Source organism: Homo sapiens, chromosome 11 (assembly GCF_000001405.40).
Source record: "Homo sapiens chromosome 11, GRCh38.p14 Primary Assembly".
NCBI classification, from domain to species: domain Eukaryota; kingdom Metazoa; phylum Chordata; class Mammalia; order Primates; family Hominidae; genus Homo; species Homo sapiens.
Window position 1 is genome coordinate 34,195,157 of NC_000011.10, and position 13,558 is coordinate 34,208,714.

General features: G+C 49.0%; 1 protein-coding gene across 1 annotated transcript in view, besides 2 other annotated features; it reads right to left on the bottom strand.

Moving 5' to 3' along the window:
- ABTB2 (ankyrin repeat and BTB domain containing 2) overlaps positions 1-13,558 on the bottom strand; it is a 207,024-nt gene that overhangs the window by 44,170 nt on the left and 149,296 nt on the right. The window contains exons 2-3 of the mRNA NM_145804.3: positions 9,388-9,534; positions 2,169-2,382 (exon numbers count right to left, since the gene is read on the bottom strand). Of these exons, the coding sequence (NP_665803.2) occupies positions 2,169-2,382; positions 9,388-9,534 (361 nt within the window). The remainder of the gene's footprint in view (positions 1-2,168; positions 2,383-9,387; positions 9,535-13,558) is intronic.
- Positions 8,419-8,488: an enhancer, noted in NCBI's record as "active region_4598". NCBI's record gives its function as "activates an Ori minimal core promoter by ATAC-STARR-seq in GM12878 lymphoblastoid cells {active_cell/tissue: GM12878}" and the evidence as "EXISTENCE:reporter gene assay evidence [ECO:0000049][PMID:35858748]".
- Positions 9,375-9,981: an enhancer, noted in NCBI's record as "H3K27ac-H3K4me1 hESC enhancer chr11:34226078-34226684 (GRCh37/hg19 assembly coordinates)". NCBI's record gives its function as "activates a minimal SCP1, AML or CMV promoter by ChIP-STARR-seq in naive H9 embryonic stem cells {active_cell/tissue: H9 hESC(naive)}" and the evidence as "EXISTENCE:reporter gene assay evidence [ECO:0000049][PMID:30033119]".

Here is a 13,558-nt window from a genome sequence, read left to right on the forward strand (position 1 = left end):
CCAGCAGCCAGGGCAACAGGCCTGAAGAAGGCGCCTGTCCTCCCAGTCACCTTTGTGTGAATGACCCGGCCTCAGCCCAGCACCTTACCAAACAGCAAGCAAGCCTCCTGCCTCTTCCTCCCAGATATCTTCCCTGCTCTTTTTCCTTCCCAGCTGACTCCTTCAACCACAACACTTTTCCACAAAGCAGGAACAGCTGGGGCTTAGGGCCTATGCTTTGGCCCCAGCTCCCGCCAAAGGTGTCTTTCAGGATGCCCAGGGCTCCACCTGCAGCCTTCTTGCTGTGTCAGGCCCAGGGTGGCCCTCCTCAGACTTGCATTTGCCCTCCAACTCCCAGAGAAGTAAAACAATGATGACATAAGGATACTAGTACTGATAACAGCAATGGTACCATTTACTGGGACCCTACTATGCGTGTACTGGGCCACTGCTGTTTTATATTCCTCTTAGTGACAGGAGGTACAGTGTAGTGGTTATGAGCCTGTGTCGTGGGGCCAGTTAGTCTCTCCAAGCCTCCACTTACTCATCTGTAAATGGGGCTCTGAAGAACACCTCTTTCTTGGTAGTGTGTGAATTAACTGAGCATCCGCCTGCAAACTGCTCAGCACAGTGCCTAGCACATAGTAAACACTCAGTAAATCCACCTTAGTGCCTTTGTTTTCTGGGGCACTGAGGAAGCAGACCTGGCTGTGGAGCCAGCTGTGGATCACAGAGCTGATGAGACTCAATGCCCCCCAAAGACAGCGGACAGCCAGGCAAGGGGACTGCAGAGCCCCTGGGACTTCCAATATTGAGGTCTCAGATCGTCTCCCTCCAGGTGGGGCACTGAGGCCCGTGGGCTCTGCCTTTCCTGGGCTTCACTGAGTGGTGAAATGTGTGTGGATGGGGCTTCCTAAACTGAGTGCAAGCCTTTCCCACTTCCTGGACCCTCAAACCCACAACTCTTGAGCCCATGGACAGACCTTACCTTAAGTGGCCAAGCAGTGGCCTCCATGTGAGGCTCATGCCAGCATATACAATGTTTGGTACGAGTTATAAAAAAAATATTATATTTTCCAGGTAGAAAATTTCAAAAGGCAGCCCTCAGAGAAAACCCATTAGAAAAGGTATCCTAAGACCGGGCGCGGTGGCTCACGCCTGTAATCCCAGCACTTTGGGAGGCCAAGGCGCGTGGATCACGAGATCAGGAGATCGAGACCATCCTTGCTAACACAGTGCAACCCCGTCTCTACTAAAAATACAAAAAAATTAGCCAGGCGTGGTGGCGGGCACCTGTAGTCCCAGCTACTCGGGAGGCTGAGGCAGGAGAATGGCGTGAACCTTGGAGGTGGAGCTTGCAGTGAGCCAAGATTGTGCCATTGCACTCCAGCCTGGGCAATAGAGCAAGACTCCGTCTAAAAAAAAAAGAAAAGGTATCCTGTCCTCAGGCTGACATGGCCCCACGTGCATCCCCTACTCATGCCCCTCATTGGGTTCTGTTGTGCAGTATACAACCTGCACATCTGTTCTTTGCAGCCTTGCTCCCAGCTAGGAAAGTGTTGGGACCCTCTAGTGAAAGTACCTGACTAGAAGCCCACAGGCTTGGGTCCAGGGGCTATTCAACCACTAACCTGCTGGAGATCAGAGAGCTGCCAGGGCCAGGATAGTCTCCTGTGTTAAATGAATGGATGGGGCAAAACACACCCAGGACCCCTCATAACAATGACGGCAGCAATGATCATTTGATCACTTTTGAATGGGATAAACCCATGAAAAGAGGTGACAGCTACCACTGGCCAAGGGCCAGTTCCCACCTAGCCCCCATCCTACATGCTTTTACTCAGAGCACTAACCTTTCTAGGTGGGTGTGACTATCTCATTTTATAACAAGGCAGCTGAATTTCAGAGAGCCCAGTGAGCTCATGCCAGACTGGGCACAGAGGCAGAAGCACACGTTCTGAGCCTCAGTGGCCCCATGCTGCATCAGCTCAGAGGAAAAAAAAATCCCACTGCACACCAGTGCAGGCCTTCATCCATCGGAATTCCTGGGCCACCTCCTCACAGGCATAGCACAGTTCCAGGGCCCCTTCCTCGCCCTGTTGGTCAGTCGTCAGTCAGTGTCAGTCAGTCGGTCAATGCACGTTTGGGAGCACGTCCCACCAGGTGCTCAGCCCAAGGAAGATCCCTACCGTTCATTGTTCAAGGTCATTCTCGGGGGGTCCAGGTTGGGGTTCTCCATGGACTCCATCTGTGGACACCGCAGAAAGTAGTAGAGCGTGTGGAGGGCGTCGGGGGACCAAGTGATGGGCTGTGGCGGCTGGCGGGCCTGGCGGGCAGGGCTGGCACCCGGGCACAGGGGGTGACGCCCCTGCATGTGGTGCATGGCACGGGAGACCAAGTCACCTGGTGGGGGGCGGGGAGGGCAGAGGGGAGGAAGAGAAAAAAAGAAGACAAAGTCTGAGTTCACAGCCTGCATTCTTCCAAGGATGTTCCTGGCTGAAGCTCCCTTGCCTTAGTGCATAATTACTGTTTGCCCTGCAGCCAACAGGCGGAGGTGGAAACTGTCACCTAGATGCACAATAGCAATTTCGTTTCCCTTTCATTTCACTCTTGCTGAATTAAATACTTGGCAGGGCCTGTCTCCTCCAGAACTTAGGGTAATTTGGTTTCTTTTTTGACATCCCCACTCTCTCCACCACCCTCATGGGCCTCTCCCCAGATCTTTGACCAAGGGAATCTCTCTGGGTCTCTCTTCCCAGCCTCTACCAGCCAGGGCCAGGCTCTGTGGCAATTCTCCCCTGCACTGTCTTGTACAAAACCCAAAGTATTTCAGCGGAGAAGGTCCCTCTGTCTCAGCACCAATTACAACCACCAACACCACCATCATCACCTGTTGAGGACTCACTATGTACAAAGTATGCAATTCCCCAGAAATATGATTTAATTTGATCCTTACAGTGCTAGGGGGTATTATTCCCATTTTACAGATGAAGAACTTGAGGCTTATGGCTGGGCACAGTGGCTCACGCTGTAATCCCAAGCCCTTGGGGAGGCCGAGGCAGGTGGATCACTTTAGGCCAGGAGTTTGAGACCAGCCTGGCCAACATGGTGAAACCCTGTCTCTACTTAAAATACAAAAAATAGTCAGGGATAGTGGCAGGCGCCTGTAGTCCCAGCTACTCGGGACGCTGAGGCAGGAGAATCGCTTTAACCTGGGAGGCGGAGGTGGCAGTGAGCAGAGATCGTGCCACCACACTCCAGTCTGGGTGACTGGTGACAGTGAGACTTTGTCTCAAAAAAACAAACAAACAACAACAACAAAAAAAAACAAAAACTTGAGGCTTATCTGATAAACATTTCCTGACCCCATATATTCATTCTCCTGGCCACAGGGACACCTCAGAGCCCACAGGTTGAGTTAACCAGCCATGGCTGTGTGGCTAGAAAATGGTAGTCTAGACTTGAATTCATGTCTGTTCGACTCCAAAGTCCATGGACTTCACTGTGAGCTGGGCTGCAGCCTGCCCTGCTGGAGTCTGTGGGATCCTTAGGTCCCCATATCCTGTGATGTGTTTCTACTTAAGTATTTTCAATATCTCACCAGCCCCAGACAGGAAACGGCTCATCATTGTGTGAGGCCACAATGCTGAGAAAGGATGGGCTGAAGGAGCCCTGGCACCTGCAGGCACCTCCGCTCTAAGAAAAGCAGCTCCTTCGGGGTCAGCTTCAGCCTCACCCCTGGCCATTCCTTAGAGAGAGCCCTTCAACAGGCGGGCACGGCTAACCTTAAGGTGGAAGAAATGAACAGGTTTTAATTTGGCCGGTGAAGTGCCATGAAATGCATGGCAGAACCAGTTCATTCATTTACTCAATTAACCTTCATGCTGCTTCTGGGAATCTGGTGTTCTGTTCCGTTGTGTCCCAGAGCCCTGCACAGGGTCTGTTACATACTAGGTTCTCAGCAGATATTTGGAGAATGAAGAATTCACCTTACACATTCATTTCTTTTTAAAATACAACTTCTGCTGAGGCTTGATTTGAGCTCATTAGCTGCTAAATTCTCCCATGACAGCCACGGTGATGGTGTTTGGCTTCCAGGCAGGGACAAATGACACCCCTGGAGTTTGAGATCCCCACCAGGAAAGTCCTCCTTGTCCCTTTCCACCACCACCCCTGGTTCCTCACTCCTCCCTACTCCTGACTACTCATCCATACCGTTGGAGTTCAGCTGCCTGGGTGCTCCTGACAAACCCTAGGGCCAAGAGGGCTGAGGGCAGTGAGTTACTGACACCTGGTTTCCATCCCTGTGACCCTGATTTCATTGGTCTGTGGCTGGACCTGGGCATCTCTAGTTTGTAGAAGTTCCCTCAGTGATTCTAATGTCCACTCAGGTTTGAAAATCACCAGGTGAACTGATAGATTGATTCAAGTCAGACACAGTTGGCCTCAAATCAGGGCCTGTTACTGTTAATTCCAGCCCATATTCCCTTAGGCCTGAGAACTCAGGGAGGCTCCCCCGGAGGTCAGCTTAAGCCCCACCCCTGGCGATTCCTTACAGAGAAAGAGAAATCCCTTACGTAGTTATCAGAGCCTCAGTTTTCTCATCTGTAAAATGGGAACAATAGTATCTACCCTACTGATTTTGAGGGCTCAAAGAAACAATAAATGTAAAGCACTTAACATCCTGCTTGGCACAGAGTAAGTATTTGGTAGGGCTGAACATAGCACTGTTATAATTAATGTCCTATTATTATTATTCCTCTATCCTACGGGCCGCCTCCTGTGGACTCTTCCTTCCAGGACTACTGCCTGCCGTCAAACTCTGCCCCACATTTCCCAGGACAGGAGGAGTCTGCACCCTGAAATGCCAGATCCCAACCCTGCCCTTGGGCTCCATGGGTGGTAGAAACTGGCCTCACAACCACCAGCCAACCCGCCTCACAGCAGCCAGTTGTACAGCTAAGTTGGCTGCTAATAAGTTGAAACCTGGCTCCCGTTTCTCCAGGTCTAAATGTCATAACTTTTGGCAGAACCACAGGACCACAAGGAGGAGAAATCAAAGAGTCTGTGATAGCATCAAAGAGAAACCTTGTTGAAATAACATTTCAAAGGCTCAACAAGGTAGAAGTCATTATCTTTAATTATTTTTATTGTTGTTTTATTGTTATTGGTGGAGAACCCTTTGGCAGCACACTTCCTGCTTCATGTAGACAAGAAAATCAAGAAAGAAATGGAATCTCCCATCCAAACAGAAGCAGATAACCCAAAAGTTCAGAAAAACCACGAAGGCAGCTGGAGATGGAGGTCCCCGGCTTCTTCGATCCAAGCCCTGCTATGGTCAGTTTCTCTCAGACCAGAAAGACAAATGGCTGCAGAGAACTCTGACTGTGACGTCTAAAAACTTACACTGCGTGGCAACCCACTTATGGCAAAGAAAGCGGCTTGCTTGGAACCTTCTCCTAGGGTGATTTTTGCTCCCTGCCACTTTGTATTTTCTAGGCTTCATGACAGACATGAAAAGATAGACAAAATTTCCTTTAACTTTTTCAGCCACCCTGTGAAGGAGGTCTTTCTACTCTACAGACAAGGAAGCAAGCTTGCAAGAGTTAAATGACCCGTCCCAGTTCTGCAACTAGTAAGTCAATCAGCCAGGACTTGAACTGGGGTCCCTGCTTCCCAAACGCATGCTCTTGACCATCACATGGCTGCTACTAAAAGTGTGGTCTGTGAACCGGGACAGGTCCACAAACTTACTGGTTTGCAGTAAGTTAATTTCAGAAGTGAAGAGTGAATTTTTAAAAACTTACATAGCAATTGACAGTAATTTTATATCTAGCTAATAATAATTTTAAAAATCGGGCTTGCATTTCACATGTCTTATTTCCTTTTTCTAGACATTTATTTTGATTTTTCATTATAAAGGTTTCATTCTGCAGCAGACTGAGGGGAATAAAATCTCTGGACCTTCACCATGGATAGTTTGAGAAGGCCTGATGCAGGCTAGGCTGGGCTCTCAGTTTAAGCATGGCAGGGACTCAGAGCTTCTTCTGAAACTTCAATTGATCCTACACTCAATGAAACCTTAGTCTGAAGCCCAGAAACACCCCCCAGGCAAGGAAAAACAAGTCCTCCCCCCTTGTTAACCATGAAAGACTTGATTAGAGGTGCTAGGTTTCACTCTGGTCCTTCCACCTCTCATTATGAGCCATCAAATAAAAACAGCAGGAGAGAGTCTGGAATTCAACACCGTCTTCAAAATAAGGCCTAGAACATCTGGCTCCCTTCAAAAAGAAGTGTTTTGTTTTATTTTGTATTCTCTCCCTTTAAAATTTTTGCGGGTAGAGAGGGACAAAGAAAAAGCACAAGTCCCAAAACTCCGTGTGAAGCTGGATCTCATACAAGAGTGAAACTTCTCACCCTATCTGGCAGCCTGATGTTGGAGAGGCTCAGGGAGTTAATGCATGTAAACTCAGGGTACACTCTGAGGTCCAAGGGGTTCAGTGCCAAGTATCACTAGCCTCATTAAGTTCTTTAGTCTCAGGGAGAAAAACTGCAATATCTGCCTCCACCTCTGTCTCCTCCCTCCTCCACAGCAGGTTAGCAAAAGCCCTGGTTTCAAAGGGAGGAACAGGGCAACTTGGCACATGACACAGCCTGTTCTCTGGTCTGTGAAAAGATGCTGTAAGGAGGCTTCTTCCTTTGGCCCTGAGGAGTGGCTGGGCCAGGATGTGGACAAATCCTAGGCGAGTTTTAGGAGAAAAGATTTGGTGGGATAGACCTCATTCCTCCTAACACATGAACATGCATACTCACAGGCATGCATGTGTGCAGACACACACACACACGTGTGCACGCTGCACCTCAGGTACTGTTCTCTGTACCAGGTACTGTTCTAAGCAATGAGGATACAGCCGTGGACAAAGGAGATAAAGTTTCCAATCTCAGGAAGCTGACTCTTCTAGTCAGAGGAGAGAGATGATAAACTATTCGTAAGTAAATATATAATACATGTCAAGTGGTGATCAGTGCTTTAATAAAATCAAAGCCACAAGAGGGAAGACAGTGGAATGAGAGTGTGGTACTCATGGAAGGCCTGAATGAGAAGGTGCCATTTGGGCAGAGGCTTGAAAATGTGAAGGACCAATGTACTTGAGGATCAAGGGGAAAGTGTTGCAGGCAGAGGGAAAGCCAGTGTGAAGGCTCTGGAGTGGGAGGGTCCTTAGCCAGGAGGCCAGGCAGCTGGAGTGCAGTCCACAGAGAAGAGGATGAAGTGATGAAGTCAGATCATATATGGATCCTGGGCCAGAGTGAGGATTTTGGATTTTACCGAGTGAGCCGGGAAGCCATTGTCGGGGGATAGAGGGGATAGATATCGAGCAGATGAGTGACACAACCCAATTTAAGCTTTAAATGGGCAGCTTGGGGCTAGGTGCAGTGGCTCATGCCTATAATCCTAGCACTTCGGGAGGCCAAAGTGGGGAATCACTTGAGGTGAGGAGTTCGAGACCAGCCTGGCCAACATGGTGAAACCCCGTCTCTACTAAAAATACAAAAATTAGCTAGGTGTGGTAGTGCACACCTATAGTCCCAGCTACTAGGGAGGTAAAGGCAGGAGAATCTCTTGAATCTGGAGGCGGAGGTTGCAGTGAGCCAAGTTTGTACCACCACACTCCAGCCTGGGTGACAGAGCGAGACTCCATCTCAAAAACAAAACAAAACAAAACAAATGGTCAGCTTGGGCTCAGTTGGTAGCAGTGGAGTTGGTGAAAGGGGCAGACTAAAACTCAGGATTGTTGTAAGTGGTAGAGCCAACAGGTCTTGGCCCCTTGGCTAGCGGTAATGGCAGAATGATGTCAAGCCCTTACCTAGGGGAGGCCTCTAAATGCTCCTCCCTTAGGCTGGGCTGGGGTTGTAATGGGCATGAGGCCACCATGAGAAGAGGCAAAGGATCAGCCCCGATCTTGATCTCAGCTGCCCCAAGGAGCTGGTGGCTGGGCTGCTAGTCTTATCCAGGGGGCCAACAGCCCTAGACACGTCCAGAGTCAAGCCCCCAGCTCTGATCCGTGTGACTTGGAGAAAATCACTTTTCTTCTCTAAGCCTCAGTTCTCTCATCAGGACATAACTTGCTGCATTGTTCTGAGGAACAAATGAGATAAAAAGTGAATATGGTGCTTCACAATGGTGTCTTGCACACAGAAGGCGCTCACTTAATGTTCAAGTGTAAAGTAAAACCAAGGTGCTCTCCAGTGGACCAGGGGCTGTGTCCCTTACTGTCTGCAGGGCACAAGAACTCACCAAAGCATGACTGTGCGAGGGCCCAAGACAGCCCATTGTCCAGGAGACACTTCTCAGGGACGGAGATGAAACCAGAACCCACTTCCTGTGGGGCCCCTCAGGGGACAGGGGACCCAGGCAACAACATCCTGGCCCTGCCTACTGTAATGTCACCAGGAGACAGGGAGTCAGAAATCCTGCTTTCTCTCCCAGCCCTATTGCAGCTCTGCTCTGTGACCTTGAACCAGGCACCTTCATTTCCTGTCTGTAGAGGGGGCAGAAGAATGCAGGGAAGGAGGAAGCCATGACCTGAAGAAACAGAGGCTTGCCGTTTATTGTTCAGGGGTCAGAAGACTTGAGGGAATCACAAACGGAGAAGGCCGGAGCAGAGGGAAACTCCAGGTGTGCCCATGCTGTGTGCTATGACCCCTGCTGTGTCACTGCCCTCCACTGGGTGATCTCAACAGAGCGAGGGGGAATGAAGGCAGCAGAGGATGTAGTCAGATTTCTCAAATCAAATGGGTAATGAGAGGGGGAGCTCAGGAGCTGGCATGGGATTTCATCTCTCCTAACACCCTGGAAGCAGCTGTCAATGGTAAAGAGCCACATCAAGTTCCAAGTGTGTGCCACAGAGCCCTGAGTCCTGGGAGATGCCACCTGGCCACACCTGCCTTCAGCCAGAGGGGCTCTATTGTTATCTTCCTTTTACTATATTGAGGCTTTGGGTGTGCTTTCTTTCGAGAAAGAGCACCAGTTGTGAATTCAGAGCCTGTGGGGCCAGGCAGGTGAAATTAATGAAACAGCCTCCCCAGGATGAAACCCAGGTCTGTGGCAAAGTGGGGAACACATGCCACCCACTTTGCTGCTACTTAGCTCCCGTGGGTCACTGCTGTGCAGGAATGGGGTACCATGTTGCTAGATCATTTGTTTTTTCAAGAGAAACCAGAAATCCAGATTTGTGTATTTGCAACCTCTGGTCTAGAAAGATCTAGCTTTCAGGGAAGGCAAGGCACTTGGAGGAGGAGGAGGCCAGAGCACTTGGAGGAGGAGGAGGCGAGCTCTCCCTGCCTTCCCCCAGCCCTGAGACCTCGCCGTTGCTCTACCATCCAGCTAGACACTGAGGCCACACTTACTCAGCTCCGAGATGCTGCCCACGCAGGTGGCCAGGAGGGACTGCTCCAGGGTTCGGAGCTCCAGCTGGGCATAGGCATCGGCTCGCTCGTCATGGCCCAGGGACCCGCCGTTGTAGGGGCTGAAGTATGCGGGGAGGGAGAGGACACCTATGGGGAAAGAAGGCAGACAGGTCACACTTAGGAAGGAGTGGAAGTTCAGTGGGCCCCAGCCTGCTGCAGGCAGGGCTCAGCCCTGCTCCCCTGCTCTTGACAGAGAGAGGTTCAGGAGGTAAAATCTCTCTGAGCCTTGAGGACTTGAGAACTTTGACTGTGGACGGTGCTATAGGGGCCAGAATGAGAAGTAGCTCACTCGTAGCTGTGGTTTTAAGCACGTGGAGACCATCGTTTCTTGGAGGTACTCAAGAAACTGGCCTTCTTGGGCTCCTGGATCATAGAAGCATTCATTCACTCACTTGCTGAATATTTACAGAGTGCCTGACTCAGCCCAGGCTCCTGGATCATACAAGCATTCATTCACTCGCTCGTTGAATATTTACAGAGTGCCTGACTCAGCCCAGGTATTGTGCTATACTTAGGGTTCTGGGGTGACAAAGAGACCTGACTTTGTTTTCATGCAGCTCAGGGATGGCTGAGTCAGATGTAAATGCCCATCCTGACTTCCTGAAGGGCAGTGCCGCCCTGAGTCCTCTCCTTTCCCCATGCTGGGAGCAACCATTCAAAAGGGATGCTGCCTTCTCCACTTCAAGAAGGGGACGTGTCCTAGCCACGGGCCAAGTCCAATTAATGTTTTTCATTAACACTTCAACAGCAGTGGAGCAGAACTGTCAGAATCAATCCCAGAGGGTGACAGCCTGTAAATTTCTCCAACTCACTATGTGGCTTCTTAGAAAGCACCAGAAAAGTGAAATCAGACTGGTTTAAAATTACATGTTGGCTCTTAAGAGCATGTGGCCACAGAGATTCTAGTTGCAGTCAGAATCTAGATAGGGATTCCCAACTTTTGGTAACCACTGTTTCTTTGATGGACAGATTTTCTTTTTCCAACACTCACCCACAAACTTTTTTTTTTTCTTTTTTAAAGAAAAATACCCACAGGAATTTAATCACTTTGGAGAAAATCTCTGAAAATTCCTAGAGATAACTGGAGAGCACCGGGATGTGGCCAAGTCTGGGTTAGAAGTCCCTAAACACGTGTGATGTAACAAGGACAACAGCAGCAACAGGTACAGCAGACAGGGCTTTGGAGCAGAATGTTGGGGTTCGTAATTCTGGCTGTCACGTAACCAGTGGTGTGATCTTGGTCAGGTTACTTAGACTCTACATCAGTTCATCATCTGTTAACTAGAGATAACTAGAGTACCTAGCTCACAGGGCTGCTGTGAGGATTAACTGAGTAACTGGGGGTCAATGCTTGGACCAATGCCTGGCTCAGAGTACATGCTCTACCAAGTGCTGTTGCTATTATTTTTACTTTGTGCTGGGAACATAGGCTTCATTTACGTTATCTCATTTATTCTTCCAACAACCCTATAAGGGCCAGGCACAGTGGATCACACATGTAATCCCAGCACTTTGGGAGGCTGAGGTGGGTAAATCACTTGAGGTCAGGGGTTTGAGACCAGCCTGGCCAACACGGAGAAACCCCATCTCTATTAAAAATACAAAAATTAGCCAGGTGTGGTGGCTAGTTTTTTCATTTTAATACAAAATTAACCTGTAATCCCAGCTACTCGGGAGGCTGAGGCAGGAGCATCGCTTGAACCCGGGAGGCAGAGTTTGCAGTGAGCTGAGATCACGCCACTGTACTCCAGCCTGGCAACAGAGACTGTGTCTCAAAAAACAAAACAAAACAAAACAAAAAAACCCTGTGTGATGGGTACTACTGACTTCCATTTGAGATACTGGGCTACTGCCATTCAGAGACTTTGAGTAACTTGCTCAGGTAAGTGGAAGAGCTAGGATTCAAATCTGGGATGGACTGGTTCCACAATGCATATACTTAACTCCTCTGTGAGCTCAGAGTCCAGTGAACACATCACCAAAGCTCACTCATGGCTGTCCTTATGTGTGGCTGGTGCATATGACAATATGGCTGTATTATTACTGCCCATTTCACTCATGGACACCCTGTGCTGAACCCCATGTGTTTTTCTTTGTTGAGGAAATGCACACAGAGGTCTTCCTCCAGCCCAGGGCCTCAGTGTGTTCTCTGACCGTTCTGCAGGTTCAGCTGATGGTCAGTCCTGCCCTCCTAGCTTGACCTTCCCCTGACCCAGGCCTCCCCGCTCTCCTCCTGGCTGATGTGGTGAAGGCCCCCTCTCCATCTCCCTTTGCCTCTCCTGGATGGCAGCGACCCCTCTCATCACATCCAGTGCTGACTTAGCAAAGCACTGCTTCAAAGCACTTCCTTCAAGCTTTGTTTCTGTTGGAGGAGGAGGAAGAGTTCATGATTGGGCTCTCCCCCGCAGCCCCCTGCCAGGGCCCCAGTCCCTAAAGCAGAAACTCTCCCTGACAGCTGAGTAACCAAACACATTGGGAAGAGCTGGCCGTAAGCTTTAAAACAAGTAAAACAAAAGGGAAAACCACCCCAACTACAGGCTGAAACCCACGACAGGCCAAACAGCTGGGAGAGCCCAGTGCAGGCCTGACTCCTCCTCCTTTCTCCATTATTAATCTACAGAAACAACACTGGAGACATGTGGATCAAATTTACAGAGCTTAGGGTAAGGGAATAGGAAATTCAGCTGATTTGTCAAAGGATTCCCAGAGAGAAATATTATGTCAATGGAGCTAGTAACAGGAGCTGTCAGCTCCATTAATAATAGTTCCCATTTTCTCAGTCATCACCCACCCAAAGAGGCCTTCACTTAATACCGTGGCAAAAGTAATTAGGAACCTATTATTAATAATAGTAATTGATAGCATCACAACTTTTGCCTAGTACCTTTTGCTTTTAAATGACTTTTTACATCTAGTAATTTGTTCTTCCAGCAAGGGAGACAGGACAGTCATGATCAGTAACAACCACAGCTGACTTTTATTGAAGGCTTACTATGTGCCAGGCACTTACATGCGTTATCTAACACCCCAGAACTGCAGGAGGTACTATTCCCACCCATCTTACAGCTGAGAAAACTGAGGCCTGAAAAGTTTAGTGGCTTGCCTAAGGTCACTGAGGGTCAGAAACGGAACAGGGACTGGAGTTTCAATTTCTTCTCAAGCTGCTGAAATAAATGACATTCTAACTTTGCCCACCTTGTCCTTTCTCGAGCTAGGCAGCGCCTAGGATATTGGAGAGGAAAGAGGTTTTGTCTGGGCCTGAGGTTTAAGAGGAGGAAATTCAAAGTAAGGCCCAGAAGTAGGACTTTCCCTTTCATGGGTCTCCAGGCACCTCCTGCCAAGGGTTCCTGGAGGCCTCCCATGAAACTCTACAGACAAAAAGCTGTCTCTCTGACTCCCTCTGATCTTTGCAGAACACAGTTCCACAGCTTGTCTTCCAAGTCTGCTCTGTAAGAAAGTCTTCTCTACATCAATTCTAAATTCTCTCTCCCACATCAGCTCATTCCTCAGCAGTTCTCACCAGAGATGGAAAATATTTTCTTTACATTCTCTTAACACCTCGATGTGTTCCTTTCCCCACACAAATTCCCAGCTCTAGCATAACGGGCCCAGGGCAAGATCATTCTAGTGAAAAGGAGTTTAAAAAAGAAAAAAGGAAAGGACATATCTATTTTTTTCTATTTAGTAAAATCCTTAGAAAAAAATTCTTCCTTTCTGTCATGATGGAGAAGAAAGCATGCGGGAACATTTGCCTTTATTCCTTTATTAGAGGGAAGAGGGACAACCGCTTTGGGACCATGTAAAAGCCACGGAGGGAACCGCATGCACCACCCTGTACCCATGACTGTGAGTGAATCTCGGAGTGTGGAGCAGTGAGCATGATCGAGTGATCCTTTGCCTCCCTCTTCTAAAACAGCAGCATTTCTGCTCAGTGTTGTACTCGAATGTGCTGTGGACTGTGCTGAAGCCTCAACATTTCTCAATCTCTACACAGAACCCTAATCTTCCATTGCTCAACTTTTCTCTTTCTGCTTGCCCAACCCTTGAATCTCAGACTCATTACCTTGTTCCTCAAAGCCTCCACCTCCTCTTCCACCAGCCCCTCTGTGAG